This window comes from Homo sapiens, chromosome 3 (assembly GCF_000001405.40).
Source record: "Homo sapiens chromosome 3, GRCh38.p14 Primary Assembly".
Taxonomy (NCBI): domain Eukaryota; kingdom Metazoa; phylum Chordata; class Mammalia; order Primates; family Hominidae; genus Homo; species Homo sapiens.
This window is the reverse complement of record NC_000003.12, coordinates 186,655,706-186,679,857: the sequence shown is the minus strand read 5'-3', so window position 1 is coordinate 186,679,857 and position 24,152 is coordinate 186,655,706. Positions and strand designations below refer to the sequence as shown.

At 43.4% G+C, this 24,152-nt stretch overlaps 1 protein-coding gene and 1 long non-coding RNA gene across 4 annotated transcripts in view, besides 3 other annotated features; one reads left to right on the top strand and one right to left on the bottom strand.

Annotated features, from left to right (window-relative positions):
* Window positions 1,624-13,844, bottom strand: HRG (histidine rich glycoprotein). Of its 2 annotated transcripts, none has more exons than XM_005247415.5 (7): window positions 13,644-13,844; window positions 10,807-10,923; window positions 9,830-9,920; window positions 8,069-8,235; window positions 6,991-7,071; window positions 4,668-4,769; window positions 1,624-2,835 (listed from the first exon to the last, which is right to left on the bottom strand). In XM_005247415.5, the coding sequence occupies exons 1-7, from the start codon at window positions 13,824-13,826 to the stop codon at window positions 1,975-1,977; spliced, it is 1,602 nt and encodes a 533-aa protein (XP_005247472.1). In that variant the 5' UTR covers window positions 13,827-13,844; the 3' UTR covers window positions 1,624-1,974. The 2 variants fall into 2 exon arrangements, with proteins under 2 accessions (XP_005247472.1, NP_000403.1); NM_000412.5 differs by having other exon boundaries at window positions 1,624-2,811.
* Window positions 9,723-10,922: an enhancer, noted in NCBI's record as "BRD4-independent group 4 enhancer chr3:186386725-186387924 (GRCh37/hg19 assembly coordinates)". NCBI's record gives its function as "activates an origin of replication core promoter dependent on BRD2, P300/CBP, MED14 and CDK7 cofactors, and independent of BRD4, by STARR-seq in HCT116 cells {active_cell/tissue: HCT116}" and the evidence as "EXISTENCE:reporter gene assay evidence [ECO:0000049][PMID:35650434]".
* HRG-AS1 (HRG and FETUB antisense RNA 1) overlaps window positions 14,224-24,152 on the top strand; it is a 24,126-nt gene continuing 14,197 nt past the window's right edge. The window contains exon 1 of one of the 2 annotated variants that reach the window (NR_187317.1): window positions 14,224-14,279. This is a non-coding gene — a long non-coding RNA (HRG and FETUB antisense RNA 1). Of the gene's footprint in view, window positions 14,280-15,950; window positions 16,070-24,152 lie in introns of those variants that run through there. The other variant, NR_187318.1, reaches the window with a different exon arrangement.
* Window positions 16,029-16,709: an enhancer, noted in NCBI's record as "OCT4-NANOG-H3K4me1 hESC enhancer chr3:186380938-186381618 (GRCh37/hg19 assembly coordinates)". NCBI's record gives its function as "activates a minimal SCP1, AML or CMV promoter by ChIP-STARR-seq in primed H9 embryonic stem cells {active_cell/tissue: H9 hESC(primed)}" and the evidence as "EXISTENCE:reporter gene assay evidence [ECO:0000049][PMID:30033119]".
* Window positions 21,712-22,231: an enhancer, noted in NCBI's record as "OCT4-NANOG hESC enhancer chr3:186375416-186375935 (GRCh37/hg19 assembly coordinates)". NCBI's record gives its function as "activates a minimal SCP1, AML or CMV promoter by ChIP-STARR-seq in naive H9 embryonic stem cells {active_cell/tissue: H9 hESC(naive)}" and the evidence as "EXISTENCE:reporter gene assay evidence [ECO:0000049][PMID:30033119]".

The window sequence follows — 24,152 nt, the reverse complement described above, 5'->3', positions numbered from 1 at the left end:
GTGGAGGTTACAGTGAGCTGAGATCACGCCACTGCACCCCAGCCTGGGCGACAGAGCAAGACTCTGTGAAAACAAACAAACAAACAAACAAAAAGAAGTCTAGAAAAGCATGGTGTATTGTCTAAAACCTCTAGTAGAACGTACCATCCCGAGGTGGGAATGGTTTCTTATCCCATTATTCCCTCGCAGTGTCGGGTGTGCATAGGAAGAATGCCCTTAACTGAAGTGAATTGAGAGCTTCAACTCCTCTGTATTCCAAGGAATATTTTCATTAACTCAAGCAAAGTTTATGAAAGTACTTTGTAAATTATTGAATCCTACTCCAGTGCTTCTGTGGGAGGATACATTCTGAGTTATTAACCTCTGTATCTTTTGCCCTCCATGGGTCTCACCTTTCTCCTCTCCCTGTTCAAGCAGCTGACCTGGTGTCCATGCCTCCAGGAGGAATGTGATTCTGCAGGGCCACATTCAGCTGCACCTGCCAGTGTGGTCACGCTGGTTGTTTATGGATGGTGACTGTTCTGATAGGTTGTTGTTTCTGGTCTGATTGGTCAGTGCTTGGGTCATGTTGATTATGAAATACTTTGAGTATCACTATTGCAGTTGGAAGATAGACAGAATCTGAATTCTTTTAGTTTGTTTCAAATGATTGAGTCCTGATTTGAGGAGGAAAAAGAAAGAGGAGTATAGTGTGGAAAAAGTCTTCTGGCCCTAAAAATAAATAAAGTGAACTTACCTGAGACTAGCAAGAGAGTCGTTAGCTGAGGGAGAAGGTATAGGGAGAAGAGTGAGGTAAGGGGTCTCTGAGGCAGAGGAGATCTCTGCCCTGCTTTCTGGGCATGCAGCTGGGAAGACAGCAAGATCCCAGGGAGAGAGCAGCCATATGCCATACCTTGGCAGTCATGTCCATGGCTAGTGTACAGACATTCCTGCACCCCCAGTTTTCTACAGAAGTAGCAGATAAATCAGACTGAAAGAGTGATGTGAACAGGGTTGTGACTATCCCTGAGCAGGATGGCTATCACTCATGATGATGATCATTGGTCCAACAGTCACCCTGGCTGAGGGATAGTCACTATCCTGCTTCCTACCACCTGGACAGCTTGGCATGGTGTGAGATCCTAGAACTGTGGCCCAACTTTGTGTGGAAAGTAGCAGGGCAGGGAAAGGGGACTCCAAGAAGGACTGGGGTTAAATTTCCACTAAGCCAGTAGGATGGCATCCTCAAATAGAAATTAATTTGTTCTGAGCATAAAGTGACATTTCTTATGCACCTGAATTTATGGTCATGATTCATGTTAGCAAGCTTCTTTGCAATTTATAGCCAGAGGTTTGTTTGCTTCAATACTGAATTTAGAACTTATTTTTCCAAAAGAAAATTTAGATGCCTAGTAATAATCACGAGGAGAGAATTTAGGTCACTTTAATAATAATAAATAGGGGGAGGGTGGGAAGCAGGAGAGCATTCGGAAAAAGAACTAGAGCATGCTGGGCTTAATACCTAGGTGATGGGTTGATAGGTGCAGCAAAGCACCATGGCATGCTTTTACCTATATAACAAACCTGCACACCCTGCACATGTGCCCTGGAACTTAGAAAATAAAATGAAATAAATGATAACAATAGTTTCAATACCATACTTTATTAGTATGCCCAGGTATAGCCCAAGCAGTAACAGAGACTCTAGAATTAGAGTTAAGTCCAGGAAAGAAGGAGATTCTGAGTGGCATAGATTTGTCTCAAGTGATGTAGTGGTGAGTGACAGAATTAACTACTAATAGGCAGCACTGAGTTCTTTCCTCTCCTTTCCATTTGATCTCTCTTCTCAGGCCATCTCTTTTCCCATTCACATTTTGCTGCATCTTCAGTATGAAAGTAGGTTGAAAAGAACTGTAATTTTCACAATTACTGGTCATTTTATTTATGTTTCTAATTCAATGTATTATTCATTTTCCTCTTCAAAGGAATCACATTTTATTTTGGAAATGTATGTGTAAAAAACATGGAAACTTGTGGAAACCCACTCTTGAACTTCCCTGGACATGATTCAGAGACTGATTGAGGAAAGGGCTGATTGTCTGGCTTTAGAGGATGTTTGTGGTGCGGCAATGGGAAGCTGGGAAAATTGGCCTCAGGAAGTGGCAGCACCTCACCTTTTCTTAGAGGAGGGAGTCGGTACACAGATCCAATTTGTCTGCAATGGAAGGGACGGGGTCCTTTACCTGGGCCTCGCCTTCTTAAGTGCCCAGGTGGTGGGCCGTGGCCATGGCAACAGTGACCTTGGTTATGGGGTGGTGGGTCACAAGGTCCATAGTCTTGGAAATCATGGCAGTGGGGATGGTGTCCATGGGGATGGTGTCCATGGGGGTGGTGTCCATGAGGATGGTGTCCATGGGGGTGGTGTCCATGGGGATGCTGTCTATGGGTATCATGTTCATGAGGATGGTGTGCATGGGGATGGTGTCCGTGGGGATGCTGTTCATGGGAATGATGCTTATGGGGATGGAGGTCACTGGAATTATTATTATGAGAATGTCTTTGGGCCCCATTTGTGCCAAAAGTGGCATGTTGACAACTTGAGCAGGACATGGGCAATAGTGGAGGAGGGCCTTGTGGAAGTGGGGGTCCATGTGAGTGATCTCTTTCATCTGGAGGAGGTGGGGGTCCATGTTCGTGTGGCTTGTGGGGATGATGATGATCTCTAGATCCATGGGGCTTGAATGGAGGCTTGGTGGTAGAAGAACGCTCATGCCCACCCCAGTGGAAGGGATGTCCCAAATGAGGCGGTACACCATTGATGTTCTCATGTTCCTGGAAAAGGTCACAGAAAAGTGCCTATCATCATGTAACATAAAAGAAGATGTTAGATACTTGACTTGATTTACACCAATGGCTCCCAGATCATAGATTCCACAAATCAATTTAAAAAGTATTACGAAAAAAGATTCTCAAATTGTTATCTAGCCCAGTTGATATTTAAAATATTAACAATAACTATCATTTACCACCATCATTGTTTCACAAAAGAAACTATTTTTTTTTTCTGAGACTGAGTCTCGCTCTGTCACCCAGTCTGGAGTGCAGTGGTGCGATCTCTGCTCATTGCAACATCCACCTCTCAGGTTCAAGCAATTCTCCTGCCTCAGCCTCCCAAGTAGCTGGGACTACACGCCCAAGCCACCATGCCCACCTAATTTTTTTTTTTCTTTTTTTGAGACATAGTCTTACTCTGTTGCCCAGACTCCTAATTTTTGTATTTTTAGTAGAGACAGGTTTCACCATGTTGAACTCCTTGTTTCAAGTAATCCACCCATCTCAGCTTCCCAAAGTGCTGGGATTACAGGCATGAGCCACCATGCCCAGCCTGGAATGAAATTTTGATTTAAAAAAAAAAGAAAGAGCCAGAAACACAATATCAGAGTAAAGGATTGTCCTTTAGATGGATAAATGTTAGATATAAAAAACTTCATTATCCTTATTTTTTTTTCATTTTTACTACACAGAGTGGTGAAACAATATTATGACCTGGCACCCATCTGTAGACCAACACTGGAAAACTAGTGCCTTATAACTGATATTCTTAACTGAGGCTTGATGGTATCAACATCCCTTACTCCTAAAGGCTGAACACTTGACCTCTTCTCTCTCTTCCTTGTTCAGAGTTTAATTTTTTAAAAAATAGCTACAGAGGCCGGGCACGGTGGCTCATGTCTGTAATCCCAGAACTTTGGGAGGCTGAGGCAGGTGGATCACCTAAGGTCAGGAGTTTGAGACCAACCTGACCAACATGGAGAAACCCCTTCTCTACTAAAAATGCAAAATTAGCCAGGTATGGTGGCGCATGCCTGTAATCCTAGCTACTCAGGAGGCTGAGGCAGGAGAATCGCTTGAACCCAGGAGGCAGAGGTTGTGGTGAGCCGAGATGGCACCATTGTATTCCAGCCTGGGCAATAAGAGCAAAACTCCTTCTCAAAAAAAAAAAAAAAAAAAAAGACAGAGCCATGTTCATGGTGACAATCCTGCCCTTTGTTCCTTTTTCTTTTTTTTAACTTGGGATTGGATGTTTGGATTATTTTAAGTTTTGTTTCTGATATGAAAAATTTCGTGAAGCAAATCTTTGTACTCATGTAAAAAATAGACCAAAGATTTCTGAGACAGATGCAAAATATGGTTTTGCATCTTATTTTATATACATTTACATAATAAATTTGAGGCTGATATATTCCTCTTAGATTCTATGCCCAATAATATAAGCTTAGGAATGACTAAGTCTCAGCACTAGAGTCCCGACTACAAAGAGCATTTTCAAATTCCTTCAAGTTTGGTTGAATTGGACATGATTTTAATTTTCTGCCAATTGTTACCCCTCTTCAATTCTTGGAAAAGTTTTCATACTTTTTGTGTAATCTGGCAATTGCACTCCTTTCCCCAGTTGTGGGATACTCTCTGTATCTTTTTTCTTGCATGTCTGTCTGTCTCTCTCTTTCTCTCTCTCCCTGTCTCCCTCTCTCTGTCTCTGTCTCTGTCTCTCTCTCTCTCTCTCTCTCTCACACACACACACACACACACACACCCACTCATAGAGCTTTAGGAAGCAACAACACTATTTGTGTACGTATGTCACTTAATCTGGCACTGCCATGACAAAGTCTGCTTAGACAACCCACCTGAGGGTCGAAGACTTCACAGTTTATGACAAGGTTTTTCGGGCTTTCCAAGTCCAAGGCTTCTACATCATAGAACAAATCTGCTCTGCAGAATCCAAAGACCTACAAAGGAATGAGGAGCTGTTAGTGTGTGTGTCCAGGTGGTGTGAAGATGACCAGCCAGAGTTAGCTTCCAGACATTCAGAAAAGGAAGAAGTGCTTTAGAAAAATCAGGGTAATATGATCAGATATTCCCACCAGTCGTTCAGCAATCTTTCCTTGTTAACACTTTGGGGAAAGTGCAGGTGGTGAAGGGTATCACTAAAGTTGCTGTGGTTTTTTTCATGAGCAGGCACCAGCACTGGGCTTCCCCATGGGTGATGGAAATGATGAGGAAAACCACATCATTGCTGCCTTGCCTTTAGGCCAACCCTTCTGCACTGGAGACCTCAGTTGCCTGTGCCTAGGACAATGAGGAATGGTGTCAAAGAGGGATTTTTACAACTTCAGCTGGTCCCTTGGAGGAAAGTGTTGGACAGGAGGGCATCTGTATAGCATAAAGATGGGTTTTCATGGACATTGTCAAGGCAAGTGTCTGCTGACTCCACCCAAGTGCCAGGGCTACAACTGGCTGCCACTCCTGTGCTCCAGATGCTCCTAAACCCACCTGTGAAAGATCGACTAGGACAAGAGGACGGCTGTCTGCTAGAAGAAATTGCTAAGCATTGAGGTTCTGAGTACAGTTTGGGAATCAGAGAGACCTATGTTAATCCTGGCTTCTCCATTTCCTAGTTGTCTGAGTTTGGGAAAGTTACAAAAGATTTCTGAAAGTCAGCCATTGTAAAATGGGGATAATACTATGTACTCACAGGTTGTGGGAGGGATTAATTAAACAAGAGGATGCTGTAAAACACTTACCCCTGAGCCTCCTCTTCAGCTCTGGTGCTTCAACTCTGGGTTTACATTATCCACACCAAGATCATGAAGGGTTTGTTGGCCATAGGAGTAGGGGAGGGAGGTGTCTTTTCTGGTGGGCGCTAAGAAGGTTTCTAGACCTGGTTCAGTGTGGACATTAGAAGAGCTAACAAAGGTACTAATGGATGGTTTCTCCCTTTTGACCAGGGAGAATGTGTTGTTAAACCTCAGAAAAATCCTGGACTTGGCATCATAATTAAAATTCCATTTCCTAACACTCTCTAGCTAAGTGCCTTTAGGTAAGTGGTTTTAATTTCAGGTCCCCTTGTCACAGGAAATGTAGGCAGATACTTGCTTTTCCTTGTCAGCAGGATTTTCATGAGGCTCTCCTGGCAATAACAGATGTGGAGGTGTTTCTTTAACTGTAGGTCACCATGCAAATGCCAGGTGGTATTAATAATGTCTTCTGGCAGGTACATGGGAATCTATTTGTAAATGATTAGAGGAAAAATCCCACTGGACTTTGTATGAGAATAACTAAGTTTTAATCTCAGCTTGGTTGTGAACATCGGCAAGACCTTTCCTTTGCTGATTTTCAGTTACCTCCTCATTTGTCAAGTGGGATTCCTGTGAGTGTGATGATGTGGAATTAATAAAACCACTTGGCGTAGGGTCTTAGTACGAACTGCTATAGTTCTAACTAAGCCTTTAATCCTAATCAGTTAGAAACTTAGTTTTAAGTTTAGGTATATATCATGTATATTATAAAATCATGTTCTTATGGTTCGCTTATGTTCTCTGTGCCTCAGTTCCCCTATCTGCTAATTTGGGATTAAAAATGGTATCTATCTCATATGGTAGTGTGAGGGTTAATAAGTTATCATAGGCTGGGCATGGTGGCTTGCGCCTGTAACCCCAGCACTTTGATTTGTAATCCCAGCCGAAGTGGGTGGACACCTGAGATAAGGAGTTTGAGACCAACCTGATCAACATGGTGAAACCCCATCTCTACTAAAAATACAAAAATTAGCTGGGCGTGGTGGTGCATGCCTGTAATCCCAGTTACTCCGGAGGCTGAGGCAGGAGAATCGCCTGAACCCGGGAGGCGGAGGTTGCAGTGAGCCGACACTGTGCCATTGCACTCCAACCTGGGCAACAAGAGCGAAACTCCATCTCAAAAACAAAACAAAACAATAAGTTATCTGATGTGTAAATCACTTAGAAGAGTGCCTGGCAGGTACTAAGTGCTTCCCAGATGATACTTTGTATTTCACAGACATTTCTTCCTCCTTCTCCTCCTCCTCATTTTCTCCTTCTCATTCCTCTTCTCCTTCTTCTCCTTCCTCTCCTTCTCCTTCTCCTTCTCCTTCTTCTCTTTCTTTTTTCTCTGTGACTCTAGTCAACGATCACAGACATTTCTTATACTCACATTGGGGTGTCTGGGGAAATGGTGTCTGGGGCAGTTCCGCACAGAGAAGTCCACGAAGTAACCAGTTCCTTCCCCTCCTCTCTAGAACAGATGGGATCAAAATAGTTTCAAGAACAGACAAAGAAAAAGGAAAAAAAAGCAGTAGATAACTACCATTCAATATTTTTTAAGGCAGTATGAGAATTCAAAATCACCAGTATGTGTCATTTTTTAAAATGGTTTCTGCCTTTTAAAAATGTATCACCTAAGTGATAAGGTGAATACCAGTTCACTGAAAAGGTTCAAATAATAAATATATGATAAAGTAGAGTGTGAAAAATCACCTCTCCTGCACTCCAACTTCTTCCCAGAGTTTTCATTCTCATTTATTTGATGTGTTTCCTCTTCGAGTGTTTTCCTAGATGTGTTACACATACACAGGGAGATCTAAGTGTTTCATATAAATGGGTCCATAGTCTAAGTACTGTTCTATAACCTGCATTTTCCTATACCAATATGTTTTCAAACTCCAGTGCGCATGGGTCCAAACATTCTTTGAGCAACTGCATGGTACTCATTTCCTTACTTGTATGCAACACAATCTATTTAACGCTGCATTTTCTGAATGCATAGCAAATGTCAACCAGTTGCTCTACAAGACAGCTCTGGGTGAAAGTACTTGGGTCCTTGTAGAGAGAGCAGGGAACCATCTAACTATAGGCACATTACTGGGTGTGGTGAGGTAATTTCTCTGAACTTCAGTTTTCCATCATAGTACAAGAATGTTAGTATTGGATGATTTGCAATGACACAACCCTCATATGTTCTTGTCTTTCCCTGTTTCCTCTTTAGATTTTCTCCCTACTCTGTCAGATGTCTACTCCCCTACCCATCCTTCAAAAAAAAAAAAAAGTGTTTGAGGAAAGCAATTTTTTTGTATTTTTTAAATACCTGCTGCCTGTCTTTTATGGCCTCAAAAGTGACAAATTAAAAGGCAGCTAGTCAATTGAGGCAGGTGGAGAGGGTATGCCATTCAGTTCCTGCTGCCAGGTTGGAGCCTGGGCCTTCAGACTCCAACCGAACCTTAGTGGAGACTCACCACTCTTGCAACTCTCTCGATTCGGTCCACTCTGAAAGAGGCAAAGTCATCATTCTCCTCTTTGTACTTCTCAAGGGCTTTGTTGGCTTGTTTTCTGTAGCGCTCAGTATCCTCAAAGAAATCTATGAGGACCGGACTATCTTTGGTATTGGCCAGTGCTGAAGAGACTGGAGAAAGAAGATAGCAGTGTCACAGTAAAGGGCTGGAAATGTTAATGGTGGCTTGGTGGCAAGAATGACAATAACTTTCATTTTAAGGATGGGCAAATTGAGGGTGGGAAGAGCTGAGTAACTGCTTCAAGATCAATCAGCCATTTGGCAACCGAACTAAACTGCTGATTCTTCCTTCGAGTCTTTCTGATCCCCATGTCTATGTTGTGACCCCTACTCATGATGCCTTCACCAGTACCACTGATAAAGTGCTAACATATATATATAAATATGACAACTATGACATTCGTTAATATATAAATATATATTATCTATTATATAATATCTATTATATATTTATATATTATATAATATATCATATGTTTTTATATTATATAATCATATATTTAGGTATTAATATGATATATATATTAACATATATATTAAATAATAGAGATGGGGTTGAGTCACATTGCCCAGGCTAGTCTCAAACTCCTGGGCTCAAGCAACCCTCTGGCCTCAACCTCCCAAAGTGCTGGGATTATAGATGTGAGCCACCGCACCAGGCCACTAATATTTTAATAAGTTCTTCCTGTTGTTGCCAAGGGGGAAGACAGAGCATTAACATAGAGTTTTGCCCAGAGAGAGGAGAAGATACAGATCATCCTTTCTTCAATGCAAACTCCTGTGGCAGTATCTTGCATTTTTGTATATAATATCATATTTGGATTTGCTATTTTAAAAAGGAATCCTGTGATAATTCTATTTGAAAATGTAAATTAAAAGGGTATGGAGGCTGGGCGTGGTGGCTCACACCTGTAATCCCAGCACTTTGGGAGGTCAAGGTGGGCAGATCACCTGAGGTCAAGAGTTTGAGGCCAGCCTGACCAACATGGAGAAACTCCATCTCTACTAAAAATACAAAATTTGTTGGATGTGGTGGCATATGCCTGTAATCCTAGCTACTTGGGAGGCTGAGACAGGAGAATTGCTTGAACCCGGGAGGTGGAGGTTGCAGTGACCCGAGATCACACTATTGCACTCCAGCCTGGGTAGCAAGAGCGACACTCTGTCTCAAAAATAAAAATAAATAAATAAAAAAGCTGTGGAATTTAGAGTTAATACTCCTGGGATTGTGTCACATCTTCACAATATCTTGGCTTTGTTCTTGAGGCCAAGTCATTTAACTTCTTTGAGCATCAATTATTTTGTCTTAAATAGAAAGTGTCATAACCTTTACTTCATAGTCCCAAGACTTTACTTCCTCCCAAGACTATACAACTGGCAGATGATGACTCAAGCTAAAGCAAGCCTGACTCCAAAGCCTATATCTATAATGAGGCTAACCTACCTCTCCTAAATCTCTATTTTTATGTGTTGAATTTCTTTAAAAGAAGGTGTACCAGTACCAGGGAAATTTGTCTCAATTCTATTCTCTGGAGAATGAATAATAATGGAGTCTATGAAGGCTTTTCTTTCATGTACATCATAGATATACATGAATACATCTGAATATATATGAATACATATGTACATAGATGAGACAAATACCACTGTATGATTGAATTTGTATTAATCAAGAATTAATTAGCAATTTAACAGATTACCATACCAGAACTTGTGGTGCAGTTAAAGTCAATCACTCTGAGGTCCTGAGATTCATGGGAATGTCTTGTAGCTATTACCTTACATTGTCCGATCACCTGTAAGAAAGAGGCTCTTGAGGACTTGCTGAGTCATTGCATCCTGCCTTCCTCAGGTCAGATATGAAAGAGCAAAAAGGTGATGCAACATCCTCCTACTGTTCATTTAAAAATGCATTTCTTTCATCAAAGCTTGTCTCAAACCCTGCATTTTCTTAGTCAGTTTCTGTGTGCTGCATCCTGTTGGCACTCAAAATCCTCAGGAGAACCAGCGAGAAACTATTTAAAGCATCATGGCCATACCCCAAACATTTTCAAGGGAAAAAGTGGTGAAAGTTCCAGGAGTGTGAACCTCTCATTTTCTGGAAATGAAATCTTGAATCTCTGCTTATTCATCTTCATGTTCTCCACCTGTGTCAGAGAGCCTGGCATGTCAATACCCACCTCCCACATGCAAAGCCAGATCTTATTCCTCAGTGTATATCCTAGGTGCTGAGCAAGACCCAATTCCTCACTGCAAGTAATTACTTTGGCCATTCCTGAAAATAGGACCATTGTTCATAGGACACAATTACAAGTTCATAGATTCTGATACCTGTAGACTGTCAAGAGTGGAAGGCCCTTAGAGTCCATGAATTCCTAAACCCACTTCTTATTTTACAGTCAAAAAACACCAAAGTGGAGGGATGTTATTAGATGATTTACCCAAGGACCCACAGCTGGTTATGCTCTTTGATGGGACCACACACCCTGCTGAGTTGTCTTGAACTGGGTTCCCAGGAAAGACTCTCAAGAGTATTGCTCAAGGTTAACATCATCTTCATGAATCTCAAGGCAAAAGCTGCCCTTTCTCTTCTACTGTGTTAGCCCAGGCATTGGCTGAGTGAACAGAGTAGATGGAAAATAAGAATGAAAAGAGCAGAGTGAAGGTGCCCTCTTTACTTACTATTTCAGATGGACGTCTGGAATCAGGTGGCTCACAGTCATTCCAGTATTTCCTGGATAGGACCGAACAGTCCGATTCTTGCACATCTAAGACTAAGTAATATACAGTTGTATTTTCCTGAGGAATGCCAAAAGCAACATGTGAGTAGCACATGGAAACCTAGCGGGTTTTTTTTTATGTATTAAAGCTATATATTTATTACTTAAACAGAATTCCTGTTCCTCTCACTGTCTTTGCAGATGCTCTACCTTTGCGTCATTTGATCTATTGATTCCAATACATAGCTTCAATGAGTTATTTCCAAATCTTTTTAAGTGGTCCTGATTTGTCTTCTGCCCATAAACTTGAAGAAGCTATCACTAAACGGCAGTGGTGGTTTAGCGGAGGCATCATCACCTACGCATGCCTGGAAGTATAAGTCATGACGACCTCATCAGGGCCTCCAATCTGTCCTTGTAGTTGTGTCCTCTTGCCCAGCTCTATTACTGATCATGGGATTTTCTGCTTTGATGTTGCTTTGCCCAAAGCTAAATCCTCTCTCTTCTCTTACAAACTAGCTGCCCTCTCCACTTCCCTCGTCTTTGTCAGTGGCACCACTAACAACATATTGCCTTAGACTCTGGGGTAAAACATGTAAACCTACGAGATGTTTTCCTTGTCCTTGCTTTTGCTATCCAGTACCAGGCCCTGAATGGTCTTTCTTGGCAACGTCTCTCATGTCTATTCCTCAGTCTCATTGCCCTGACTCCCACTAACCCAGGTCTGACCCTTGTTCTTTCATTCCTGAATACATAAATAGCTTTCTACTTCATGTCCCTGTCTCTTGCCTCAGTTTCCCCAGGCACATCAGGACCCCTCCCCATCCACCCGCTCTCTATGCTAGCTCTCAGAGGCAGCTCTGTGCTGATGCATCCTATGCCCTAACATGTGTTGATGAGCCTGGCATGGGACTAATGGTCACTGAATTACTGGTTGAATCCTAAACTCCTGCACACCTGTTCTCTGCAACCCACAGTGCCTCCCTCTGTGATACTTTCAGAAGGGTAAATTGTCCTCTGTAGTACTCCTTGTCTGGCCTCCCTAATTTCAGTTTTTCCATCAGAGGGAGAGTAGGTTATTTGGGGAGCTTAGAGGCAGGCTTCATGTCTCTCTATAATGTCTATCGGCTCCTCTAGTCCAGTTTAGGTAGGCGTGTAATCTAAGCGAAGACAGTAAGCTTGTTTCACCTCAAGACAAGCCCACAGGCTTGGCTCCTACCTGATGCCTGCTCCAGAGCCCACATGGAACTTCTGGAACCCACCTGCTTATATTCAATGGCTCCCTAACACCCTTCTTCCTGATTCCATACCCACCTAGAAGTGGTGGTGCCAGGAATTCACCAGGAACACATTTACCCAGACCTGTTCAAATCCTACCCATGCATCATTACACAGCAGAAGCCTCCTCCCATCCAGTCTTACTAGATCTCCCCTCATTAAATTGCTCCAGTACATTTACCACTCCTTTGGTCACTTGGCTATTGTTGGGGCTCAGAACATGGTATCTCAAAGTATGGTACTTTTGGCGTGCTGAGTCCTTTGAACTGAAGAAAATGGGAAGGGCCTCAGAAGCCAGATCTGTCTGACCTTCTGCCCTTTGTTCTCCTACTCTGCTTTCTCCCCCAAGGCAAGCCATAGAAACTAAAATTTCTCTTCTCCAGGACAGTCACAGATGGTAGAATCCCTCTCCCCGAAAGCATCCATAAATCCTAAAATATGAATCTAACCTTCCCCCTGTGTCTTTCTTTGTAGGAGCTGGCCATAAAGACATTCTCTGACCTACTCTGTTTGATAGTAGGTCCTCAGATCCGCATTCCAAAGGGATCCTGTCCCATACTTGGGAGCAAGAAATGCCACACAGAGAGGCCATGAAGAACTCAAACAGAGAGGCCTTGCTGGGTCCTTCTTTCAGTCTATGACTCTTAGATTACAGCCTTTTGTCCCATCACACTTCTGCATTCTGCACAGCCTTTGTGAATTCTAAGTATGCAAGTGGCCAGTTTCTTTGGATATCTGAGTCTTCATTTATGAAGACTCCAGTGTCAGGTAAACCTTGGATTAAATAAATTTGTATGTTTTCTTCTTCTTCTTTTTTTTTTTTGAGATGGAGTCTAGCTTTGTTGCCCAGGCTGGAGTGCAGTGGCATGATCTCGACTCACTGCAACCTCTGCCTCCCGAGTTCAAGCGATTCTTCTGCCTCAACCCCCTGAGTAGCTGGGATTACAGGCGTGCACCACCATGCCCAGCTAGTTTTTGTATTTTTAGTAGAGACAGGGTTTCACCATGTTGGCCAGGCTGGTCTTGAACTCCTGACCTCATGATCCGTCCGCCTTGGCCTCCCAAAGTGCTGGGATTACAGGCGTGAGCCACCGCGCCTGGCCTTGTCTACCAGTTTTATTTCAGGCTCAGTTAGGAGCCTTAGGAGGGTTGAGAAAACTTTTCCTTCTCTCTAGTTTATCCTAGTAACTTACACTGTTTGCCTGTATGTGCCAGTGTATTATTATTTCCTGGAGGCCAAGGCCCATAGCTTATTCTAATGTTTCTCTGGCAGTCCTTAGCATGTAACTGGGCTCAGCATAAATGCTTATATGTACCCACAAATCGAATCATAGTTGCGGGTACACTAATAACAAATATTAGTTTGAAGGAAAAAAGAACAATTTAGAGCAGCCGCAGAAGCCAAACAAAAAACTCTGACCAAAGCCATTCATTGTGCAAAGCAGTAAGCCTAGGGGGTAGAGTCACATTTGCCCCCGTGAGTAATCTCCCAACTCAGCTCTGCCATTGGCAATTCCTCACCACTCTGTCCAAGTGGGCATCAGCAATCCGCAGCAATTGGAAAAGGTAGCCATCCCGTCGCCTTTTATTGATCAGGTCTAGAGCTTTCTCAGCCTCCGGCTCAACAGCACTGCAGTCAGTGGGACTCACGGCACACGAATACTGCAATGTGATCAAAAGCAGTGCTGCAATGAGTGCCTTCATTTTGTTAAACCATCCCTTGCTATGATCTGCCACTGCAGAGAATTTTATACAGACTTTCTGAAACACACGCAATTGATTAAACAAAACCTTGATACATTTTTGTTGTGTAACTGAGGGTGTTCACCTTGACCCTGGGTTCAAATAACCATCAACAAGCTGTAAATGATTAGTGGGTCCTGGGGGCAGAAAGCTGAGAAATGCTGATGAGTGGGTGGAACTGTGATCTGCACAAATCTGGATTTTTCTAGTAGATAGCAGATCTAAAGTACGTCTTTGAATATAAGCAGTGCCTATGTTGGTGTAGGGGGTGGGGCTAGGGGTAATTTTCCTCCATCTGCCTGCCTGTCTCAGCTGGAAATCTCCATCATCAGTCAGTGGACTGATGGATCATGGCACTAAAACTCCTCAGTAGAAGGCAGCTGCATTATCTAAGCGGGGGAACATGTTAAACAGGTACCATTATAAAAGGAATGACTTCAGGTAAAATAGAACAATGAAGAGGCTGTCGTTTTGAAGTCAAATCTGAATTTCTCACCTGGCTCTATTACTTTCTTACTGTGTAATGCTGGGTAAGCAACAAAACTTCTCTGATAGTTCCCTCATTTACGAAATATGGATTGATACCTCTTGGCAGGCTTGTGTGATAATTAAATAAGAAATCAGGCTGGGTGCGGTGGCTCATGCCTGTAATCCCAGCACTTTGGGAGGCCAAGGCAGGCTGATCACAAGGTCAGGAGATTGAGACCAGCCTGGCCAACATGGTGAAACCCTGTCTCTACTAAAAATACAAAAAATTAGCTGGGCATGGTGGCACATGCCTGTAATCGCCGCTACTTGGGAGGCTGAGGCAGGAGAATCACTTGAACCCGGGAGGCGGAGATTGCAGTGAGCTGAGATCGCGCCACTGCACTCCAGCTCGGGCGACAGTGTGAGATTCCATCTAAAAAAGAAAGAAAGAAAAAAAGAAAGCAACCAGTATAATTCTTGGCATAGAGTAGATGCTGAATAAGTGATGCTATTTATTATTAGTGTGCCTGCAAAGAAGTTGGGGACACCTCATGCCACCCCAATTCCCTGCAAAAAGAATTGATTCACGTGGAAGAGGATGGTGGTGAGAGTAAGAGTCAAATAGTTGGATGCCCATCCCACTGTTAGAAGGGATCAGCAGGGGGGGACTGGGCTATGATACAGCTGACCCCCTACCTTCACACTTCAGAAGAAACCCGTATACCTATATGCAACCCTCAGACCAGCAGAGCCAGCAGCATCAGAAGGGACCAGAGGGAATCAGCCTAGGTTCCGTCCTCACTGCCAAGAAACAGCCAGTTAGGCAGCATCTCCATTCCTCCCTGTTCTATCCGCAGTGAGTGTCTGTGAGAGTCTGCAGTCATGTCTCTCAGACTCGGCTTCATGTTAGAATCACCCCAGGAGCTTTAAAAAGTCCTGATGTCAAGGACTCCTCCAGGACAATTTAATCAGAATCTCTGGGAGTGGACTTTGGTATTGGTAGTTTTTAAACTCCTAGGTAATCCAGTGTGTGCAGTCAAGGTTGAGAATTACTGGGATTCTAGAGTGAACTGAAGAGAGGGAAAGGATTTGAAGACAGAAAGAAAAGGGAGGTGTATGAAAAGTAGATCTCATTTCCACAAGTCACAGGGTTAATGAGTGCAACAGGTTTTGAATAATGTTTGCAATTGAACTTTTAATGTCAGTAACCCTGGCTTTTAAATACCCAATGGGACCAGTCCAGTGCAACAGAAAATGACAGGAATGTATGGAATCTGGTCAAGGTGTTAAGAGGCTCCAACCCAGTGGGGAAGGGGAAAGCTATTGATTAAAACAAAAACTATTTTGAGTTTTTGTTATTATGAGTTGAGCTCCTTAATGAAGTTTTTCTATTATGGCTATATTGGCTGCACCCTAAATGGGGTGTCCTGGGTGAACCAAATGCTGGTGTAGGGAAAGGAATGGGAATGTTGAGGGGATGGGAAGAGGCATCAAGAACAGGAATATAATTTTCCTACAGTGCTGTTCTGCTGAGACTACAGAGTACCTCAGGGAGTCATGCATCCTCTTCCTGTTGCTTTACTGAATCTTAAAGAGTGATACAGTACTAATGATGCCATTCTAGCAACTGGAGCAGCTTCAGGGGAGAGAGCACATTAAGGGTGCTGGGATGGTAATGGTTGGGAGGAAGCTGAATGGTAGTAAGAGAGACATTCTGTCCTGAGAACTCTGATCCAGTAAGTGATATTTGGCTTTGGGGATGGTTCCTATTAGCATTATGGGAACTAGAGAGTGGCCTCAGATGGAAGTGCTGACTTTACACAGATGGTATCTTTCATGCGCGTCCGTGTGAAGAGACCACCAAACAGGCTTTGTGTGAGCAATAAAGCTTTTAATCACCTGGGTGCCGGCGGGCTGAGTCCAAAAAGACAGTCAGAGAAGGGAGATGGGGTGGGGACGTTTTATCGGATTTGGGTAGGTAAAGGAAAAAGGGGGGTTGTTCTCTGGCAGGCAGGAGTAGGGGTCACAAGGTGCTCAGTAGGGGAGCTTTTAAGCCAGGATGAGCCAGGAGAAAGAATTTCACAAGATAATGCCATCAGTTAAGGCAGGAACAGGCCATTTTCATTTCTTTTGTAGTGGAATGTCATCAGTTAAGGCAGGAACCGGCCATCTGGATGTGCATGTGCAGGTCACAGGGGATATGATGGCTTAGCTTGGGCTCAGAGGCCTGACATTCCTGTCTTCTTATATTAATAAGAAAAATAAAATGAAATAGTGGTAAAGTGTTGGGATGGCAAAAATTTTGGGGGATGGTATGGAGAGATAATGGGCGATGTTTCTCAGGGCTGCTTCGAGTGGGATTAGGGGCGGCGTGGGAACCTAGAGTGGGAGAGATTAAGCTGAAGGAAGATTTTGTGGTAAGGGGTGATATTGTGGGACTGTTAGAGGAAACATTTGTCATTTAGAATTATTGATGATTGCCTGGATATGGTTTTGTATGAACTGAGAAACTAAATGGAATAAGAGAAGGAGAAAAACAGGTATTAAAGGTCTAAGAATTGGGAAGACCTAGGACATCTAATTAGAGTGCCTAAGGAGATTCAGCGTAGTCCTGCCAGCAAAGATTATTTATTTACTTCAAGAATGGCAGTTTGGGGATACCACCAGGAGATATCAGCTGTGATGGCTTGGAGAAACAGTGTAAACTGGCAGTGTAAACAAGAGCAGGACATGTATGAGTAGTTGAGAACAGTGAATAGGAGTATGACTAGAGAGAAGATAGTAGGGATGACAAGTTTTTTGGGGCACAGTCTAAGTTGGTCTGGTGTCTGGAATGAGACTGGGGCTTAATAAAAAGGAGCCTCTATACAGGAGCTCAAATGGGCTGTACCTTGTAGCATTCTGAGGACAGGCCTGACTTCTGAGAAAAGAAAGAGGTAAAAGTTTTTCTAGCCCTTTTTAAGTTGGTGGCTGAGGTTTTAAAAGACAATTAGTCCATTCTACTTTTCCTGAAGACTGAGGACTGTAAGGGATATAAAGGTTTCATTGAATACTAAGAGCCTGAAAAACTGCTTGGCTGATTTGACTAATAAAGGCCGGTCTGCTATCGGACTGTATAGAGGTGGGAAGGCCAAACCGAGTAATTGTGTCTGACAGAAGGGAAGAAATGACTGTGTTGGCCTTCTTAGACCCTGTGGGAAAGGCCTCTACCTATCCAGTGAAAGTGTCTACCTAGACCAAGAGGTATTTTAGTTATCTGACTCGGGGCATGTTGAGTAAAGCTAATTTGCCAGTCCTGGGTGGGGGCAAATCTCTGAGCTTGATGTGTAGGGAAGGGAGGGGGCCTGAATAATCCCTGAGGAGTAGTAGAATAGCAGATGGAACACTGAGAAGTTATTTCCTTGAGGATACATTTCCACGATGGAAAGGAAATGAGAGGTTCTAAGAGGCGGGCTAGTGGCTTGTACCATAGCATAGCCTGCCTTTGCTGGTGTGTGGCGATTAGGCCTGGTGGAACTGCCATCAATAAATCAAGCGTGATCAGGGTGAGGAACAGGAAAGGAGAAAATATGGGGAAATGGGGTGAATGTCAGGTGGATCAGAGAGATACAGTCATGGGGGTCAGGTGTGGTATCAGGAATAATGTGGGAGGCCGGATTGACGTCCGGGCCAGGAACAATGGTAATTGTGGGACTTAACAAAGAACGAGTACAGCTGAAGGAGCCGGGGAACAGAAAGCATATGCGTCAGGTATGAGGAAGAAAATCGGTTTTGGAAGTTACGAGAAATGTAGAGAGTGAGTTGAGCATAGTTTGTGATTTTTAGGGCCTCTAAAAGTATTAAAGCAGCGGCAGCTGCTGCATGCAGACAGGAGGGCTAGGCTAAAACAGTAAGGTCAAGTTGTTTGGACAGAAAGGCTACAGGGTGCGGTCCCGGCTCTTGTGTAAGAATTCTGACCGAACTAACCATGCCTAGGAAGGAAAGGAGTTGTTGTTTTGTAAGGGATTGAGGTTTGGGAGATTAATCGGTCACGATCAGCAGGGAAAGCATGTGTGTTTTTATGAGAATTATGCCGAGATAGGTAAGAGATGAGGATGAAATTTGGGCTTGATTGAACTAATGCGGGCTGTCTGTGAAGCCTTGCGGCAGTACAGCCCAGGTGATTTGCTGAGCCTAATGGGTGTCAGGGTTAGTCTAAGTGAAAACAAAGAGAGGCTGGGATGAAGGGTGCAAAGGAATAGTAAAGAAAGCATGTTTGAGATCCAGAACAGAATAATGGATTGTAGAGGGAGGTATTGAGGATAGGAGAGTATATGGGTTTAGCACCATGGGGTGGCTAGGCAAAACAATTTGGTTGATAAGGCGCAGATTCTGAACTAACCTGTAAGCCTTGTCTGGTTTTAGGACAGGTAAAATGGGGGAATGGTAAGAAGAGTTTATAGGCTTTAAAAGGCCTTGCTGTAACAGGCGAGTGATAACAGGCTTTAATCTTTTCAAAGCATGCTGCGGGATGGGATATTGGCATTGATTGGGGTAAGGGTGATTAGGTTTTAATGGGATGGTAAGGGGTGCATGATCGGTCGCTAAGGAGGGAGTAGAGGTGTCTTATACTTATGGGTTACGGTGGGGAGATACAAGGGGAGGATGTGAAGGAGGCTTTGAACTGGGGGAAAAGGCGGCAATGAGGTGTGGCTGTAGCCCAGGAATAGTCAGGGAAGCAGATAATTTAGTTAAAGTGTCTCGGCCTAATAAGGGAACTGGGCAGGTGGGGGTAACTAAAAGGAGTGATTAAAAGAGTACTGTCTAAGTTGGCACCAGAGTTGGGGAGTTTTAAGAGGTTTAGAAGCCTGGCTGCCAATACCTACAACAGTTATGAAGGCAAAGGAAACAGGCCTTTGGAAAGAAGGTAATGTGGAGTGGGTAGCCTCCGTATTGATTAAGACGGGGACGGACTTACTTTCTACTCTGAGAGTTACTTCAAGCTTGGCGTCCGTGATGGCCTACGGGGCTTCCAAGGCGATCGGGCAGCGTCAGTCTTCAGCTGCTAAGCTGAGAAAATGTGAGAAGGAGTCAGTCAGAGAGCCTTGGGCCGGAGTTCCAGGGGCTCTGGGAGTGGCTGCCAGGTGAGTTGAAGAGTCTGATTTTCAGTGGAGTCCTACACAGATGGGATACGGCTGAGGAGGAATCCTGGGCTGTGGGCATTCCTTGGCCTAGTGGCTAGATTTCTGGCACTTGAAGCAAGATCCTGATGCAGGAAGTCCTGTAGGAATGCTTGACTGCTGCGGCTTAGGCGTGTGCGGCTGAGGCATTTTGAAGTTCTCCTATGCTGGAGGTGTGGCTGGGTCTCGTCTCACAGCAGAGGCAAGTAATTGTAACTCAGAAACGCGTTGCCGTCTGGATGCTTCTTCTCTATTATTGTACACCTTGAAGGCAAGATTGATTAATTCCTGTTGTGGGGTTTGAGGGCTAGATTCTAATTTTTGAAGTTTTTTCTTAATGTCAGGAGTGGATTGGATGATAAAATGCATGTTAAGAATAAGGCGGCCTTCTGGCCCTTCTGGGTCTAGGGCGGTATAGCGTCCAAAGGTTGCTGCTAAGCCGGCCATGAACTGGGCTGGGTTTTCGTCTCTACCTTGGGTAGTCTCTTCAAGCTTGTCATAATTAACAGCTTTGTAAGCTGCCTTTTTAAGCCTTTCAAGTAGGCAGGAATCATGTAATCTCACCTAGCTATACCTGGGGAATTTGTCTGATAGTTCCATTGGGGATCTTCTCGGGGAACTGCTCTAATGCCTTCCTGGAGGTCTGGCTCGTGAAGCCGGCGGTTATCAGCGTGAGATTGGGCTAGAGAAAAAACTCTTTCCCGTTCATCTGGGGAGAGGGTAGAAGTTAGGATGACATTTCAGTCACTCCAGGTTAACTTGTAGGACAGAGTTAGATATCAGAATTCCTGTATACATTTAGTGGGGTCTGATGAGAAAGAGCCTAAACACTGACTGATCTGAGAGAGGCGTGATAGAGAAAAAGGTACATGTACCCTGACTATGCCTTCAGCTCTAGCCACCTCTCTAAGAGGAAACTGTTGGGCAGGTGGGGAAGAACTAGTCACAGAACTAAACTGTATGCCGGAACGGCTGTGAGGAGGGGAGATGGTAGAAGGATTATAGGGTGGAGGAGCAGAGGCTGAGGAAGAATTGGGACTTAGCTCGGCCTGGTGACAAGCAGCCTGGGGAGGAGGGGAAAGGTCAGATGGGTCTGTAGAAAAGGAAGACTGGAAAGACTCAGCAACGCTTGGGGTTGGGACTGAGGGGACAGGCGGGAGGGAAAGAAGGAAGATTTGGGACGAGTTGCATTGGGAACAGAGACCAGGGAGGGACCGATATGTAAAAGAATGCCTGGACATCAGGCACCTCAGACCGTTTGCCTATTTTACGACAAGAATTATTTAGATCTTATAGGATGGAAAAATTGAAAGTGTTGTTTTCTGGCTATTTGGAAGTACTGTCGAGTTTGTATTGGGGTCAAGCGGCATTGCAGAAGAAAATAAGACGCTTAGATTTTAGGTCAGGTGAGAGTTGAAGAGGTTTTAAGCTCTTGAGAACACAGGCTAAGGAAGAAGAAGGAGGAATGGAAGGTGGAAGCTTGCCCATAGTGAAGGAGGCAAGCCCAGAGAAAAGAGAGTAGAGACATGGAGAAGGGTTGGGGGGTTCTTGCCCTCCAGAAAAGCAGAGAAGGGGTCAGGGCACGGAAATAAGGGGTTGAGGCGCAGAGATAAGAGGTCGGGGCACGGAAATAAGGGATCGGGGCACAGAAATAAGAGGTTGGGGCATGGAAATAAGGGATCGGGGTGCAGAGATAAGAGGTCGGGGTTCCTGCCCCTCCCCTAGAAAAGCGGGACTTGCCGCTAAGGGTGAAAGACCAAGGCAGGTGTCCTTGCGTGGTCTGACACCTCTGAAACCTGAGTGAATAATCAGAGAGGCATCCCCACAATGATTAAACACCAAGGGAAGGCTGCCTTTCTTAGTCCACGACCGGCATTGGAGTTTTGGGTCCATGGATAAAACATGTCTCCTTTGTCTCTACCAGAAAATGAAAGGAATTGAAATTAAGAGAAGGGAGAGATTGAAGTGTGGCACCAAGATTGAACAGAGAAAGAGGTTGAGGGATAGTGAGGGAGGTTGGAGAAGAGTGTAAAAAGAGGCTGTTCACGGGATTTGAAATTGGTGAGATGTTTCTTGGGCTGGTCAGCCTGAGGACCTGAGATCGTAGGTGGATCTTTCTCACGGAGCAAAGAACAGGAGGACTAGGGATTGATCTCCCAAGGGAGTTCCCCTGATCCGAGTCACGGCAGCAAATTTCATGTGTGTCCGTGTGAAGAGACCACCAAACAGGCTTTGTCTGAGCAATAAATCTTTTAATCACCTGGGTGCAGGTGGGCTGAGTCCAAAAAGAGTCAGTGAAGGGAGATGGGGTGGGGCCATTTTATAGGATTTAGGTACGTAAAGGAAAAAGAGGGGTTGTTCTCTGGCAGGCAGGAGTAGGGGTCACAAGGTGCTCAGTAGGGGAGCTTTTGAGCCAAGATGAGCCAGGAGAAGGAATTTCACAAGATAATGCTATCAGTTAAGGCAGGAACAGGCCATTTTCATTTCTTTTGTAGTGGAATGTCATCAGTTAAGCCAGGAACCGGCCATCTGGATGTGTATGTGCAGGTCTCAGGGGATATGATGGCTTAGCTTAGGCTCAGAGGCCTGACACTATCTGGGCAGACTGGGCAGGTAGAATCTTCATCTTTACCTTTTCTTTTCTTTCTTTTTTTTTTTTTGAGACAAAGTCTCACCTGCTCTGTTGCCTAGGTTGTTGTATAGTGGTGCCATCTCAGCTCACTGCTGTAACCTCCACCTCCCAGTTTCAAGCAATTCTTCTGTCTCATCCTCCTGAGTACTGGGACTACAGGTGCCCACCACCACGCCTGGCTAAAATTTGTACTTTTAGTAGAGACAAGGTTTCACCATATTGGTCAGGCTGATCTCGAACCCCTGACCTCAGGTGATCCACCCGCCTCAGCCTCCCATAGTGGTGTGATTATAGGAATGAGCCACTGCGCCCTGCCGTCTTCACATTTTCATTCTGCATTTAGGTTATTTCTGTGTGTCCTGACCATTGTATCAGAAAAAAGAGTTAGCTAACAGAATTTTTATTCTTTAAACCTTTTTGACTCATAATAGAACACATGCTTTTTGCAAAAAATATGGAAAATACGAAAAGCATAAAGAAAATTCACCTCTAATTCTACAACCATAAGGAAAACCAACTATTTATAATGCATAATTGCTTCATACACTTTTTGCTATTTGAATATATGTAATATATATGTTTTGCATCATTAGAATTATTCTGTACATACAGGTGTTTCTTTCCCTCCACTGTAGTTGAGCATGTATTTACTTATAACCTCTATTTTTTTCAGGTATTAATAGAAACCATATAAGCTTTATAAATGTTTTTGTGTTTTTATAGGATTTTAAAATTTTGTTATTTTAAGTATACAGTTTTTAGTCATAAACACAATCCCTGCACAAAGTAAAAAAGCAAACAATATTTTAGAATATTGTAAAATAAAAATTAAGTCTCTTTCCTCCATTCTTTACCTCCCAAACTCTTTCCCAAGAGAAGGACTTTTAAAAATCCCTTGTTATATATGGCTTAAATATTGTATTTTCCCTTAAGGTTATACCATGAGGACTTTCTCAGATCATTAAATATTCTTCAGAAAGATTATTTTTGAGGTTACATAATATTGGATGTTATGTACGTGTTAATGTATTCAACATTCCCCAATTTTTGGCCATGTATATTGTTTCCAATTATTTGTTCTTATAAGTAATGCTACAGTGGACCTCTTTGTAAATCTCTGACTATGTCTTTGAGAATCACTAGACTGGTTGACAGAATTTTATGACATTTAATTTTTTTGTAATAGGAGTCACTTTTTAAAGAAAATGCAGTTTTTATCAGGCTTAATGTATCCATTTTGTTAATTTACTTTAAAAATGGGCTTTAATTTTTAGAGCAGTTTTAGGTTGACAGTACAGCTGAGTGGCGAGTATAGAGTTCCTATGTAGTCCCTACATCTGCCCCTCACGCTCACAGCCTCCCCTGCTATAAACCTCTGAACACTAGCAGCACATTTGTTACAACCGATGAACTTACACTGACACATAGTTATAACCTAAAGTCCATGGCTTACATCAGCATGCATCCTTGATGTTGTACATCTATGGGTTTTGACAAATGTATAATGAAATGTATCCACCATTGTAGTAGCATACAGAATAGTTTCACTGACTAAAAATCCTCTGTGCTCCACATAGTCCATCCCTGTCTCCTTGCTAACCACTGGCAACCAGTGATCTTTTTACTGTCTTCATAATTTTGCCTTTTCCAAATGTCATATAGTTGGAACCATACAGTAGTTAATCTTTTCAGATTGGTTTCTTTCACTCAGTAATATGTATTTAAGTTTCCTCCATGTCTTTTTGTGGCTCGATATTCATATTCCTTTTTCGTGCCAAATAATATTCCATTGTCAGGATTTACTTATCCACTCACCTGGTGAAGGACAGTTTGTTGCTTCCAAATTTTAGCAATTATGAGCAGATGTGCTGTGAATATTCATGTGTGGGTTTTTCTATGGACATAAGTTTTCAGATCATTTGGGTAAATACCAAGGAGTGTGACTACTGGAGCATATGATAAGAGTATGTTAAGTTTTGAAAGTAACTGCCAAACTGTCTTCCAAAGTGGCTGTACCATTTGCATTCC